At 43.9% G+C, this 15,913-nt stretch overlaps 1 protein-coding gene across 1 annotated transcript in view, besides 2 other annotated features; it reads right to left on the minus strand.

Moving 5' to 3' along the window:
• Window positions 1–15,913, minus strand: part of HYDIN (HYDIN axonemal central pair apparatus protein) — a 428,639-nt gene that overhangs the window by 204,863 nt on the left and 207,863 nt on the right. Inside the window, exons 22-23 of the mRNA NM_001270974.2 lie at window positions 13,228–13,371; window positions 11,183–11,496 (exon numbers count right to left, since the gene is read on the minus strand). Coding sequence (NP_001257903.1) covers window positions 11,183–11,496; window positions 13,228–13,371 — 458 coding nt within the window. The remainder of the gene's footprint in view (window positions 1–11,182; window positions 11,497–13,227; window positions 13,372–15,913) is intronic.
• Window positions 2,000–3,199: an enhancer, noted in NCBI's record as "CDK7 strongly-dependent group 2 enhancer chr16:71042849-71044048 (GRCh37/hg19 assembly coordinates)". NCBI's record gives its function as "activates an origin of replication core promoter dependent on BRD2, BRD4, P300/CBP, MED14 and CDK7 cofactors, with strong dependence on CDK7, by STARR-seq in HCT116 cells {active_cell/tissue: HCT116}" and the evidence as "EXISTENCE:reporter gene assay evidence [ECO:0000049][PMID:35650434]".
• Window positions 2,140–2,434: an enhancer, noted in NCBI's record as "tiled region #808; HepG2 Activating non-DNase unmatched - State 20:ReprD". NCBI's record gives its function as "activates a minimal TATA promoter and a strong SV40 promoter by Sharpr-MPRA in HepG2 cells {active_cell/tissue: HepG2}" and the evidence as "EXISTENCE:reporter gene assay evidence [ECO:0000049][PMID:27701403]".

Genomic DNA, 15,913 nt, shown 5'->3' on the forward strand with positions numbered 1-15,913 from the left:
GTGCTTCCTACTTATCCTCACCCCACCCCTTTCTCTCCCTCTCTCCCTGTCTCTTCCCTCCCTCCCTCCCTCCCTTCCTCTATCCCTCTCTTCTCTTCTTCTTGCCCTTTTCCCTGCCTCCGTCCCTCCCTTCCTTCCTTCCCATTTTTATCTAGTGCTTATTTACTTCACTGTGCTGCCCTTCCCTTATTTGTAAAATCACAATAATAACAGTGTTTCCTAAACAGCTGCCATGTAAATCAGCTTACTGAGAATATGAAGTGAAGCCATCTTTGGAAATGTCTGGCACACAGTCACTGCTTATCCACCCACCTTGTGCCCCATGAACGGTTTCCATGTTTGTCTTTGGGGGCTCATCAATTCCATGCACAGCAGTAAGTCTTATTTATCTTTGTAGTCCCCATCACACATAGCACAATATTCAGGTAGAGTGTTCAGAGAAGGTTCGTTTAAATATAAAATAGATATATAGTAATAAGATATACAGAAAAATTGGGCTTTGATATGTCAGTAGAAGACAGTGGTTAAAACAGGGGCTTTGCAGTCAGTGCAGAAATGGGGTCTTGGACTTCTCAAAAGAAGATATAGCAGTGACCAAGAAATATGAAAAAACGTTCATTGTCACTAATAATCAGAGAAATGCAAATCAAAACCACAATGAGATAATGTCTCATACCAGTCAGAATGGCGATTATTGAAAAAATAACACGCTGGTGAGGCAGAGGAAAAAAGGGAATGCTTATACATTGTTGGTGGGAATATAAATTACTTCAGCCATTGTGAAAGCAGTTTGGAGACTTCCCAAATAACTTAAAACAGGGCTACCATTTGACCCAGCAATTCCATTACTAGGTACAAACCCAAAGGAATATAAATTATTCTACCAAAAAGACACATGCACACATGCACTTATATGTTCATTGCAGTGCTAGTCACAATAGCAAAGACATGGAATCAATCCAGGTGCCCATCAACAAAGGATTGGATAAAGAAAATGTGGTACATAAACACCATGAGTACTATGCAGCCATAAATCATACAGCAACATGGATGCAGCTGGAAGCCATAATCCTACATGAATTAATGCAGGAACAGAAAACCGAATACTACATGTTCTCACTTATAAGTGGGAGCTAAACACTGAGCACACATGGACATGAACAGGGGAACAACAGACACTATGAACTACTAGAGGGGGTAATAAGGGAGTGAGGCATGGGTTGAAAAACTACCTGTTGAGTAGTATGCTCAGTACCTGGGTGACGGGATCCATACCCCAAACTTTAGCCTCATGCAATATTGCCATGTAACAAATCTGCACATGTATCCCCTGAATTTAAAATCAAAGTTGAAATGATTAACAAAAACAAATGGGGTCTGGGATCTGCTGTGTGGGCTCAGGTGCCTGGACCCCTAAAAGCGGGTATTCATCCTCACTCTCTGGGGTTGCTGTATGACATGTAATGAGTTAGAATGATGCCTGGCACATGGTGGGTACTCAATCATAGTTACTGCTATTGGTCAAGATTACGGCAGCTTCCTTTCATTGCTCCCAATAGCTCCATGTTGAAGATTTGGCCATATACATCTGTCTACAGGAAATATTTCCTACTTGGACATATTCTTTGTGGTCTGGAAAGCTGTTAAAAGAGATTTTCCCAATGTAAAGATGTGAACTGTTCACACTGTACCGATGGTCTTACTCTAAGGCTTCAAAAATAGGCAGGTTGCCTTTCATACAGAAAACGGGAAGGTGCCTGCACAGCTGGTGCTTAGGGCTGCATGGTGACGGGGCTATTCTGGGAATGAAGTCTGGTTGTGAGTTGCTTTTCCACAGTGCCTGAGGAGTAAACCAGCTTATCAGGTCTCAGGGCATTGGTAAGGTGGTCTTGTTCCTCAAATACCCTTCCATGCAGGTGGTACCTAATTTCACAATTAGATGTCCATCTCTTTGGCTTAGGACTAGCAAGAGAAATGCAATGAGCCTGATCAGTCATGAAGGTGGAATCTTTGTTCTTTGCTGCCCAGCATCCATTCTCCCTTTCTTTGGTCAGGTACCTTCCATTTCCCTCTGGGAACTAGCCTATCTCTGACATTCAGCCTGGCTCAGGAGTAGCAGTGAGTTCCCCAGACCATAGTTGAGGGACACAGGATTCAACCAGTGCCAGTGAGTTACAGCAAAAAATTTCCTAGGACTCTACTTCCTCCCACTAGACTTGAACCTGGCATATGAAGAGCTGGAGCTGCTGAGTCATCTTGCAACCATGTGCATATAGGACCCGACTGAGAATGGAGGTAATATGGCAGAGGGCAGAGCCGAGGGATGATGGAAGAGACACTAGGTGCAGGTGATGTTATTCAAGTCCTGGATCAAGCTGTGCCTGAAGCCTGAACCTAGACTTTCCAGATGCATGAACCAACAAATTCTGTTTTTCTTTTCTTTTTTTTTTTTGTAAGTTTGAGTCAGGATTACCGTTGCTTACAACCAAAGCTTCTAATGATATGGTCATTAATAGAGGATCCATTTTTAAAGAGAGTAAAGGGAGCACAAGAACTCAATGCCAGTAATGTTAGAGGCTCTGAATAGGTTGGATAAGGGACAGCCTCAAGATGTCCATGTTTGAATCCCTGGAACCTGTGAATGCTACCTTATATGGCAAAAGGGACTTTGCAGATGTGATTAAGTTGAGGATCTAGAGAAGGGGTGATTATCCTGGAGTATATGAGTCAGCCCAGTGATCTAACCACAGGTGCCCTTATATGAGGGAGGCAGAGGGCCATGTTCTTCCAGAGAGGGGAGAAGGGGATGGTATGCAGTCAGCTTTGAAGGTGGTGGAAGGGCCAGAGACTAGGAATGCAAACAGTGAAAGGAACAAAGCTCTGGAATTCAGCAAAGGCAGGGGATTTTCCCTGCAGCTTCCGGAGGGAGCAGAGGGAGAGTGGCCCTGTCCATACCTTGGTTCTGGCCCAGTGAAACTGATTTCAGACTTCCGGCCTCCAGAATGGGAAGAGAAGAGATCTGTGTTGTTCCAATACCCCCAGCTTGTGGTGACCTGTTACAGCAGCCACAGGAAGTTGCTAGGGGGAGGGACCCATTCCCACTGGGTTCACTCTTGGGGCTGTAAGTCTGTCATCCTAGCTCAGACACAGTAGGGAGAGAGTCGGGGAAGAAAGGGGGCTGAGGGGGCAGAAAATAGGCTGTGGCCCCTGATTCTGTTTCCCCTTCATGACCTTTTTGCCCCCTCCTCAGGCCTGTCTTCCCTCTGGCCCCAGGGCTAAATGCTTACTTTTGGCTCCAATCCAAACTTTTCCCTGGGAAGTGAAAAAGAAAAACGCAAATACTTGAGCTCACAGCGTTCTGAGAGGTACAAAGCTGGTGAGGAAGACAGGATGTTTATGGAAGGGACAAAAGCTTAGATCAGTGAGAGGTACCTGCGGCCCTTGGACCCTGTGAGACCTCCCCACCTCCTGAAATGGCCTCAGACTGATTGTGGGAGAAAATATCTCAAAGCTGCCTCTGGAGTGCTCAAATATGGCCTGGTATCAACATCAGAGAGGCACCCATCTCCTCAATTTCTTCAATAACAAAGCGGCCTTAGCATCCTCACCACATTCCTCTGTGGAAGGCACCATTATTAACCTCCTTCATTTCACACAAGAGCCGAGGCTCAGGGAGGCTCAGCCACCCAGCAGGGTCACATGGGGCAGGTGGCTGAGCCAAAGTCTGACTCGGACACCAGCACCCTGAGCTACCCAGGGACAGCTGTGGTTTAAGGGTACTTAGTGCCTGCCCTTGTGGGATTCAATAAAGTAATGCTTATTCTGAAAGAAAAAATAATCACATTTCCCCTAAACATTTTTATTTTCTTATTGGGCCCTTGGGCAGAACAAGGAACTGCCTCTAAGCCAAGGTCTGGGCTTATCTGGCTGCAGGGAGGAGTGACAGGTAGGGAGGGGAGGCCTGCCTGGCCCTGGCCCCCTTAAGCCACACACAGGCCACAGCAAAGCTTGGCTAAAGCCTGGCTTTGGCCTTGATGAATGCAGCCTGGTATAAGAAAAGGATTTTCTATCATTTGTTGGAAGTAAAAGGAATCTGGGTCCATCTGTGGTTGTCTAAGGACCCTAGAGCTCCTGTAGGAGGACCCGTAGGAGGACCCGTAGGAGCCCTTATAGGATTCCGGGGCTGCTTCACTTAGCAGCATTTGGTACAAAGGAAGAGACCCTTAGAGAACCTAAAAACAGCCACCAATTTGGGAGTGCTTGGCATGTCTCAGGGACATATGCATGTTAAGATACACTTCATTTAATCCTCACAGCAACTCTTTTAGACTACCATTTTACAGGTAAGTCAACTGCAGCACAAGGTCACATGGCTAGGAGGAGCACAGCGCTTGGATTCTAACCAGCCACATCTGATTCGGCAGCCCAGGACTCCAACTACCACTAACACACCACATCTTAGAAAAGTTCCACTTTTGGTCCAGGAACAGTGGCTCACACTTGTAATCCTAGCACTTCGGGAGACTGAGGTAGGAGGATCACTTGAGCCTAGGAGATTGAGACTAGCCTGGGAAACATAGAAAGACCCTGTCTCTACAAAACAAACAAACAAACAAACAAAAAACAACAAAAAAACCAGAAATTAGCCAGGTATAATGGTGCACGCCTGTAGTCCCAGCTACAGTAGTCCTTGGCTTGTGCCCAGGAGTTTAAGGGTGTGGTGAACTAAGATTGTGCCACTGCACTCCAGCCTGGGTGACAGAGCGAGACTTTGTTTAAAAAAAAAAATCTACTTTTGAAGCAACAGAAATTGAGGAATGATGAAGACATAGATGGAAGCATCCAGAAAATGAGGCTCCTTCTTCAGCCTCCTTCCAGGCCTTCCACCCTCCTCTTCCAATCTCCATATTGGCTGGCTGGCGCTCATCATAGAAAAATCAGTGTGAGAATAACATGTTCCTTTGCTGCAGGACTTGGCTCCCTTTAGGCCCTTGTATTCGATTTATTTATAATCTGATTCACAAACGAAGAGCCAAAGCTGTCCGTGGAGACCACTTGGCCCACATGCTCTAAGTTCTAGTGCGGCCTCAGCTTCCCCGCTCTGAGACTGGGCAGAGATGCCAGCCAAGCCAGAGGCTGCTCGGCTCCCTGACGGTTGGCTCTCTAGTCTGGCCTCTTAAAGGTAAAAGCTGGTTCAAGTGCACCGTTTCCTTGTGCTTCTCTTTCACACAGGTGCCATGAAGCATTGTGTTGTTATCAAGCTGATCAGTTAGACTGAAGAGATGGACCTAATAAAAGGGTGGCTCCTGCAGCGACAGCTGTGTGGTCATGAATGGCCAGCCCCGGCACTTCCTGCCAGCTTTCTCATTACATGCAGATGTGGGAGGGGGAGAGACCACCATCCACCATGGTTGACCCAGCTTCCTGTCACGGGCACAAACTCACAGGCTTCAAAGGCAATGGCTGCCTTTTCCTCTTACCGAGGACTTATTTAGCATGCTTGTCCATTTTACTTCTTTCTTTGTTCTTAGATGTGACATGAGGGCCAACTTGGGGAAAAAAATGTGAGCTCAAACAAGAGGGATGCTTTAAATAGATGAGTGAGAATTGCCTACAAAGTCACATGCACACATGTGCATGCACACGCACCGCAGATGTACATGTGTTGTGAAGGAACATGAGAGTGTCTAGGCGACCTCAGACCTATCTAATAAAAGAAAAAGAAAACCCTCTCTTACACTTCTGTTTCTTTTACTAACTGTAAGGCTTAGAAGAATCCTAACTGGATAAGAAAGGTTAGTGTTCGTGTATGTCTGATAAAAGTGACCTTTAGCCACTTTTATGTGGTTTATGTTTTTCAGACGTCCTACACAGAGACAGTCTGTCTGGAAACCAGGTGGCTTTTTTTTTTTTTTTTTGTCTATTCTAGGTGACATTTATGCCTGGAACCTTTCTCTTTGGCGGGTGCCAGGAAGCTGAGAGAGAGGAATCTCAAGCCAGGTATGAAATGATCTCCTTCTCTCTACAAATACCCAGGTGGGAGCAGCTGATTCACCAAGAAACACCCTTTGAGGATGTACTCTGTGCTGGGGACTGTGCTGGGCTCTGGGGCTCCAGAGGTGATAGGGCAGGTGTGCTTGCTGGCCTCACAGGGATTAAGAGATGCTGGGAAGATGGACACCAAGCCATAAGCAGAGGCGTGATGTGAATCACCAAGGAGATGGGAGTACCAATGTCCATGACAGGGGATCTGGCCTAAGGATGGATCTTGGAGAAGGCTTCCCTGCAGAAGGATGGTGAAGCTGAAGTCTGAAGAAGGGGCAGGGACAGCTAGGTGGGGCTGGGGAGGAGCTTCCAGCAAAGAAGGGGGCAGTTGGACAGGAACAGCACTGGGCAGGACAGAGGCCGGTGTGTTGGGTAAACAGAAAGGTCAGTGCCAGAAGCACAGAGCAAATCTGGAGAGGAACGCAGGGACCAGCACATGCTGAGCCTTGCAGAATAGAGTGAGTGCTCTGTACTTTATTCCAAGAAGCACAGGTAGTTACTAAAGGCTTAACGCCAAGGCAGTGGCATGGCTACTGAGGGGAGTAGGAGCTGTGGTGCATGCGTGGAAGCAGAAAGCCCAGGTAGGGCTGTGACCACAGTAACAGGCAATGGTGGCTTGAGCCAGGGTAACAGCAGTGGAAATGGGAATGAGGTTTTCAGAAGGCAGAATAGGTAGAAGTTGGTGGTGGATTTGATAGGGTGGGTGGGGTTAGAGAGAGGAAGAAATCCTAATGCCTCCCAGGAGAGCAGTGATGTCATTTACTGGGACAGGGTGCCCTGGAGGAGAGTCTGGGGGTGAGCAGGGAGGGAACAGAGCTTATGTGGAACACGCTAGGCATAAATCACCTGGGAGGCATCCAAGGGATGTCCAAGAGGAGACGTCAAGAAGGCAACAGACTTGGAACTCAGCAGAGGGGGCTCGGTGAAGACAGGCACTGGGAAGCCTTAGCAAAAGAAGCTGACTGGAGCTATGGGGGTGCATCAATTTCCAGGAAGAGGAGAAAGCCTAGGATGGAGCCCTCCATCCTTCTACTCCAGTGGAGTTGTTGCTGGCAGAGAACTGAGAAGTTGTTGAGGGGACAAGAGGAGAATCAGGAGAATACGGTGTTCTGCAAGGCGAGAAAGGAATGTATTTCAGGAAGGTGGGGTTGGTCGCTGTGCTGAATGCTGCTAAGCGTTACCTTTCTGCAAAAACCTTTGTCACCTTCTTGATTACAAATCCCACCACTGCCTCCAAGAAAGAGCGTTAATTCCTTCTGGAATATCAGGTCTCTCACACACTTCTGCCAACATACCTCTCCAGACTCACCTCCCACAACTTCTCCCACCCAGTGAGGTCTGCCCACCAGCCACGCTGACATACCCTCCGCCAACATCATGGTAGAAGCGTGTCATTTGCTCTCCAGCATCGATTCTCCCTCTGTCAGTTTTTGTTTGGTGACCCCGTTCCCACCCCCTCCAGTCCATCTGGTTCAGAGATCATGATCCACAGCCTTTGGTGGCGGGCATGTGACCAGGTCAACCATGATGAGTGCATCACCCTCCCCTGACAGTGACTGATGAGGAGTGGGGACAGAAATGTGACTCAGTTAGTTTGATCGGAGTGAATCTCCTGGAAGTTGTGGGAGAAAGACCTCATATTGTTTTCCAGTGGATCGGAGTGTAAAAGGACATGGCCCCAGCAGTGCTGGCAGCCACTGGGTGATTAGGAGAGAAAAGCTAATCTGGGAATGAGGTTAACACAAGAAACTGAGCAGAGCTGAGAGACAGAGAACCTGGCTCCAATGATGACATTGTATGATCCTTGCTTTAAGCCAGGCCAGAAGCCAAAGCGAATCTGGAATTTTGAGTCGTGAAAACCAATGAATTTCCTTTCCTTTAATTTTCGCTTAGGGTCAGGTTTTCAATGACTTGCCATAGAGTGAACCCATGAATTCTAACTAATAGATACATGCTATTCCTGTTACTCAGAATGTCTTCCTGCCTCTCCATCTGGAATATTTAACTGTGGCTCCTCAATGTAGCCTTTTCTGACTTCTCTGGGCACAGGCCTCCCACCCACAGAGCCCAGCATGGCCACATGTCCACTTTGGTACATGTCTGCTTTCTCCACTAGCCTGAGGACAAGGGTCACGTCTTGTTCACTTTTATAGTGCTGATTCCTCAATATGTGGCTCACAATAATCACTTATCAAATGTTTTCTGACTGACTCTCTGATTGAGTAAATGAATCAACAAACAAGTTATAAGCAGAGGCTCAATATTAAGAGATAGGAAGATGCCGAAGAAAGAGAAAAACGGTTAAATAAATGCTTAAACCAATGAAAAATTAAGTGTATCATCTTCAGTAGTGGCCAAGTACATTTTCAAAAGTTCATCCCTTTAATTATGAAAGTAGCCTCTCAAAAATAAAAAAATAAATGAAGCATGTCCTTGCTCCCAGATGGAATAAACTCATTTAGCTATGTTACATCAGAATCACTTCACAAAATCTGGCATTTGAAGTGCATTAGGTCGGGTTGGCTGATTTTTCCATAATTATATTAAATGTTCACCATCTACAGAATTTCATTCCAAACCCAAACAGTCCCTGGCACTTAATGAGCAGACTCCAATGCTCAGGCCCAGGACCGGCTGCCGGCTTCAGTGCTTCGCTAGGTCATCGTTAGATGTCTACGGAAAACATTCAGAGCGAGCCATCGTTACCGTGGTAACAAGTGCAGGAGAGAAGAGGGTGACTGTCATACATAAGATGAGGATTATGGACAGGAAGCACTGACAAGCCCCTAAGGAAACAACATGAGGTTTCCTCAGTTAAGAATGGCCGTCCAATATTCACATGCCAACAACTGAGTGTCACAACATCCAATAAGGAAATATACAAAGCCCATTAGTTCTGGTTGCCAACTAAGAAGAAAATGCAGCAATCGCTGCCTCCCACTATTTTATAATTATGTGTATGTCTATACATATACATAAATGAACCAGAACAGAAACCCATTGAAATATGTAAAACAGGCAACATGGAGCTCAGTGCTACACATACTCAATGTAGGGTCCTACTCAGTCTGTGCTTTGAGTTTGAAATGTTTTTCAAGAAAATTCTGCAGCAACAAAACCAAAAGTAAACAAGTATGACCACACCAAACTAAAAAGCTTCTGCGCAGCAAAGGAAAGAATAGAGTGAAAATTCAACCTATGGAAAGGGAGAAAATATTTGCAAACCATATATCTGATAAGGGGTTAATCTCCAAAATACATAAGAACTCCAACTCAATAGCAAAAAACCACTAATACCTAATTTAAAAATGGGCTAAGGACTTAAATAGACATTTCTCCAGAGAAGATCTACAAATGACAACAGGTATAGAAAAGATGCTCAACGTCATTAAATATCAGGGAAATTCAATAAAAACCCCAATGAGATATCACCTCATACCTGTTAGGACGGCTGTTACTAAAGAAACAATAAACAAGTGTTGGTGAGGATGCGGAGAAACTGAAACCCTGGTGCACTGTTACTGGGAATGCAAAATGGTGCAGCCACTGTGAAAAACAGTATGGAAGTTCCTTAAAAAACTAAAAATAAAGCTACCATGTGATTCTGCAATCCCACTTCTGGGTATTTATCCAAGAATTGAAATCAGAATCTCAAAGTGATATTAGCACTCTCATGTTCATTGCAGCAATATTCACAATAGCCAAGATGTAGAAAAAAGCTAAATGTCCATCAACAGGTGGATGGATAAAGAAAATTTGTTATATACATACAAGGGGCTAGAATTTTGTTCAAACTTAAAAAAGAAGGAAATTCTGCAATATGTAATGACATGGATGAACCTTGAGGACATTATGCTCAATGAAATAAGCCAGTCACGGGAAGATACTGCATGACGTGGTTTGGCTCTCTGTCCTCATCCAAATCTCATCTCAAAATGTGTTCCCCACATGCTGAGGGAGGGACCTGATGAGAGGTGATTGGATCACGCAGGTGGTTTCCCCCATGCTGTTCTCGTGATTGTGAGTGAGTTCTCATGAGATCTGATGGTTTAAAAGTGTTTGGCAGGGCTGGGTACGGTGGCCCACACCTGTAATCCCAGCACCTTGGCAGGCCGAGGCGGGCGGATTACCTGAGGTCAAGAGTTCGAGACCAGCCTGGCCAACATGGTGAAACCGCATCTCTACTAAAAATACAAAAAAAAAAAAAAAATTGCCAGGCGTGGTGGCAGGCACCTGTAATCCCAGCTACTTGGGAGGCTGAGGCAGGGGAATCGCTTGAACCTGGGAGGCAGAGGTTGCAGTGAGCCCAGATAGCGCCACTGCACTCCAGCCTGGGCGACAAGAGCGAAACTCTGTCTCAAAAAAAAAAAAAAAAAAAGTGTTTGGCAGTTCCCCTCTCACTTGCTGTCTCTCCTGCTATCATGAAAGATATGCCTTGCTTCCCCTTCACTTTCTGCCATGATTGTAAATTTCCTGAGGCCTCCCCAGCTATGTAGAACTGTGAGTCAATTAAAACTTTTTTCTTCATAAATTACTCATTCTCAGGCAGTTCTTTATAACAGTGTGAAAAAGACTAATATACTGCATGATTCCACTTATATGAGGTAGTTAAAATAGTTAAATTAATAAAATCAAAGAGTAGAATGGTGGTTGCGGGGGCTGGGGAGAAAGGAGAATGGGCAACAGGCATAAAGTTTCAGTGCAGCAAGATAAGTTCTAGAAATCTGGTTTACTTATAGTCAATAATACTGTATTGTACACTTAAAAATTTGTTAAGTTGTATATATATTACCACAATAAAATAATAATTTAAACAATTCTACAAAGACTTTATTTTTTAGTGATGAATTTCTAATGGTCTTATCACTAGACTCAAAATTAAAGTGGGCTTATGGATATTGCTTTGTTAATTCGGTGGTGATTGGGACTTTCAAAGATGTTTTATCTATGTTTCCTGTTAGGAAATCGAGGATGGATCGTGATTTTAAGCTCCTTGTTAATTCTGTCAATAATTAGTGGTCAAAATGGAAAATATTCATGAATGGCCAGTACATGGAATACAGAAAACCCCATGAAAAGCCTGAAAGAGAAAACAAATGAAAAGCAGAGTTCTGTGAGAGTTCTGTGCTGGGGGTACCTTATCTGATTTTCCTCATCATTCACCAAGAAGAACCAGCGAAACTTCACAACCAACGGACTGCAGTTGGTGATGGTAACGTAGCGAATGAGCTCAGTATCGTTCAGGATGCAGCCAAAATCCAGCTCCTTTGTCTCAAAGCTGAGGTTGGGGTAATGCACTTCTCCGCGCAGGTCCAGGCTGTCTATCTGAGGGTGTTCCACATACTTAATTGCTAGAATTTCTTCTGCCACCCAGTTGTTCAGATCGTTTCTGTAGGAAGGGTCAAACTTGATCAGCAGGTTTTTTTCTTCATCAATTTCCAGTTTAATAGGCTACAAACAAGATAATGGGGAAATTACTAACTTTTGTACTATGCATTTCCACCCTGGTACATGAAACAGGACAGCCAGGTATTTACACATACACATTACATGTATTTATGCACACACAGATACACGCATATTTGTGCATACACATATAAACACACATATTAGTATGAAAAACATACACATACACATTCATATGTAAACAGCTAGTACATCTAAGTATAGACACTTATGTATATGGATACACATTTTATTAGTTGAAAATGAAAGCAAGGAAAATCTGGAATTATTTAAAGGAAGAGATTTTGATAAGTGTTGTGTGGGGTTATAAGAATTGAGGAGTTGTAAAGGAAAAGTCTACAATGAATAACTATTATAAAATATTCTTAACTAAAAATAAATTTCGTTGTGAAATGCCCTTAGGCAAGTGGGAAAAATTCTTTGCTTAAGAAATTTTTAAAAGGGTTTTCTAAAGCACTGGGGGGTGGGGTTGGGGGTGGGGGGCTCTGTAGAGAGTGACCCAGAAAGGGACAGATTAGGTAATTTAATTTCTTTTCTAATGTCAGCAATCCTAACTTTTAAGCACAGTGTCATCCACTTTCTGCTGTTTTCTATTCAACTTAAAATGACAGTCCAGAGCTGAACAGCATTTGTTCAGTACATTTTATTTGTTCTTTTCTGTCTTTGATTCCAATCCCTATGTGTTCCTTGATGCCAGTGTCTGCAGTAACACCTTCCCGTAGAAAGGCTGGCTATGAGTTGGCTTTTTTAGGCATTGCTCAATTCCCACATTTAATGGGCATGAAAGCCACCTCGTGGTTTTGCAGCAAGTGCCCTAAGGCAGTTGGGAAGAATGGACACAGGAATGAATCTGTTTTCAGTGCACCTCATCTTTCCACTGGGCTTAAACGATTCTGGTATTTAACTGTGCATTTAATGACATGATTAGATGGTTTCGGTTGATAAAGCCACTCACCTGATTCAACAGTCAGAGAGAGAGTAATGACTCTTCAGCATTGGCCTAATCCCAGCTGAAAGCCAGGCCAGCCACTGGGCCTTTAATCTTACCACTGGCACAAGGGGCTGGGCATAAGTTAGGACCCACCCTTGTAGATCATGGCATCTGTAGCACTCGGTATCGCCATGCTTGGTGATTAAATGTTTTGAAGATTGACTTAACTTTTTTTTTTTTCCAGGAAAATGACATTATTGTTTTGTAGAAATGATACAAAAATTTACATTATATATAAAAGCACAAAGAAGAAACGAGAAATTTATCCCAAATTTCACAATACATTATTTCTCAGAGTTATCATTTGGTAGATGTTAGTCCAGACGTGAGAGAGGAATAATAGGATTTTACAAAAATGGAATTAGACTACATTATTTTCTAAAAAACACCATATTTGAATTTTTTCTCAAAAAAGACTTGAAGAAATGTTTCGTATACAAGGGATATTAATTCCTAAGATTAAAGGCTCTGGAGCCAGAGTAGTTAGGTCCAAATCCTGGTTCTGCCACTTACTAGCTGTGAGACCTTGGGCAAAATACTGGGCCTCAGTTTCTCCATCTGATTTACCACTCATTTTAAATTTTCTGTAGTCTTCCCTGTTTGCTTCCTGGATCCTTTACATCTTTCTGAGCTGAAGTTGGGTGGTGTATCATTACTCTTCTCTTCCTTTATCACACCCCGCCCCACCCCAGACAGCTTGCCAGAACAGACCCCTATTAAGGTACCTCAGGAGTTGCCGGCAGCAGGGATTTATCAGTCTCACATATAAAGAAGGGTCCAGATGTTGACAGCAACAAGTTCACGGGCAGGGTGGAAATGTTCTTTATGGCCAAGGGCTGGTAATCAGGTTTCAGGATACTGTTAGGTTTCTGCAAAAACAGAAAAAGAGGAAACAAATCAACTTATGGTAAATACAGTAAGCTTTTAGCAACAAGTCTCAGGTTCATTGTTTAGAACAAATTTAGCAATCTTTCTTTTTCTTTGTGTGTGTGTGTGTGTGTATATATATATATGCATATATATGTAGATGTATACATACATTTTTCTCCCTTGTAGAACTTTAGATTAATCATGTGGAGGCCGGGTGCAGAGGCTCATGCCTGTAATCCCAGCACTTTGGGAGGCCAAGGCCAGTGGATTACTTGAGGTCAGGAGTTTGAGACCAGCCTGGCCAACATGGTGAAACCCCGTCTCTACTAAAAATACAAAAATTAGCCAGTCATGGTGGCAGGCACCTGTAATCCCAGCTACTTGGGAGGCTGAGGCATGAAGATCACTTGAACCCAGGAGGCAGAGGTGGCACTGAGTCGAGATCACACCACTGTACTCCAGCCTGGGTGATAGAGTAGGACTCAGTCTCAAGGAAAAAAAAAAAGATAAATCATGTGATGTATAGTGGACTACTGAAAAGTGGACCTACATAACCCAGACAACACAGATTAGATTTTTTTACCCCCTTGGTGCCTAATTGAGAAAACCTACAGAAGCCATGCTTCTGGATAGAACTATTATTATAGGGCCTTCCACAGTGTCATAAGACAAAGTCTAAAAAGTTAGTTATATCTTATGCATAAATATAGCTATCATTATAATGAATAAAACATTTTTCCCTTGTATAATATTTTTCCAGGCTTAAAATACCTGATTTGCCTATATCTTGTTATACTGACAAATGATCAGACCTATTTCCTGTAAACTTTTCCTGATAATACCAGGATAGTTGATTTAGAAGTATCTTTTTACTCTGTTAGATACATTAGATTTAATTTTTCTTTTTTTTTTTTTTGAGACAGAGTCTTGCTCTGTTGCCCAGGCTGGAATGCAGTGGTGTGATCTCAGCTCACTGCAACCTCTGCCTCTCGAGTACAAGTGATTCTCTTGCCTCAGCCTCCCAAGTAGCTGGGATTACAGGCACGTGCCACCATGCCCAGCTAATTTTTGTATTTTTTGTAGAGATGGGGTTTCACTATGTTGGCCACGATGGTCTTGATATCTTGACCTCATGATCCACCCGCCTCAGCCTCCCAAAGTGCTGGGATTACAGGTGTGAGCCACCGCACCCGGCCCAGATTTAATTTTTCAACTAGAGAAGGCATCAGAAATGAATCTCGAGTTGAGAGTTTCTGGCCAGACTGGATTTTTCTCATTCTGATGTTGGGGCCCACATTATTTCTTGTATTCCCTAGAAAGAGGGTTCTTTAGTATCATCAGGGGGTGACCAGGAGCCTCAATCTTTGGCCTCCAAAAAGAACCTCCCTCCAATCATCCCCTGGGTCTTCTGACAACTCTAGTCTGTCTTTCCTAGGCCTCCTTGTTTTCATTTGCCTTTTCTCTTTGTGCCAATATCAGTTAAGCCCTCCTAATTTCATACTTTGATATGACTCTGTCTTCCAGTTCTATGCCTAGCACAGTCTTCCTTCCACTGTGGTTCCTGGGTGAGCTCAGGTGACCAGTGTCCCTTGGCTCGAGCCTCATGCCTTGGTTGTACTCTATGAGTCTCCCTGTGCACTCCCAGGGTGACTTTAGGGATTAGGTCTGGAGTTTACCATGAGATACCAGCCTTTGTTTCCCTCCCTCTAATATGGGGTAGCATGGAAGCGGACTCACCTTGCCTCTGCGGGTTGTATACTATGGTTTAGGGAGGGATGAAGCAGTACTCTGGGCCCTACTAAGGCTGCATGGAGAACTGTCCACCCAGTGACCTTCCCTGAAGGCTGCTGTGTCACTGCAGATGGCTTTGAAGTACAGAAGCCACACTTGGTTGGTTTTGGCAAGAGGCCATTTAGAGGCTACTGATGAGAAGGAGTCAAGCACAGAGAGGCCATTCTATTTTAAAATGACCCCTTCTCTTTGAGTTGTTCGTCTCTCCAAATATCAGCAGACAGAATGTGCTGCTGGAACTTCATGAAGAAAAGTGGCTGCTAGTTTCAATTGACCTTTTCAATCCCACAGAGATGTGGTTTCATCTCCGTGGCTTATGAATGGTACGATAGTTATAAAGTAGACCAAATCTGAGGAAACAGCTATAGAAAAATTCTTCCTATAGACAGGGTTGTTACCATTATATTCTAATGTACCAAATCAGATCCACTGCCCTTGAGCTGAAATCAGGGAGACAGAACAGATAATTGGATGTTATACAATTAAATCTGAATACTGAGACCTAACAAGTCTCTTGCATATGCTGGGTAATGAAGTTGCATTTCTTCATTGTCCCTGATGTGGATTAAATGTGAGCAGGAAATGAAAATGAAAAATACAGTAATAGGACAGATTTCAAACTTCTCATCTTTGTGGGGAAGGAGAGAAGGGTGGAAAAAAGTAAGCAGGGAACTGTAGCTCAATTCACTTTTTGATTGAATAAGAAGTTACCGCCATATTCCAAATATGTACATATTTTAATCTAGTAAT

This window comes from Homo sapiens, chromosome 16 (assembly GCF_000001405.40).
Source record: "Homo sapiens chromosome 16, GRCh38.p14 Primary Assembly".
Lineage (NCBI taxonomy): Eukaryota > Metazoa > Chordata > Mammalia > Primates > Hominidae > Homo > Homo sapiens.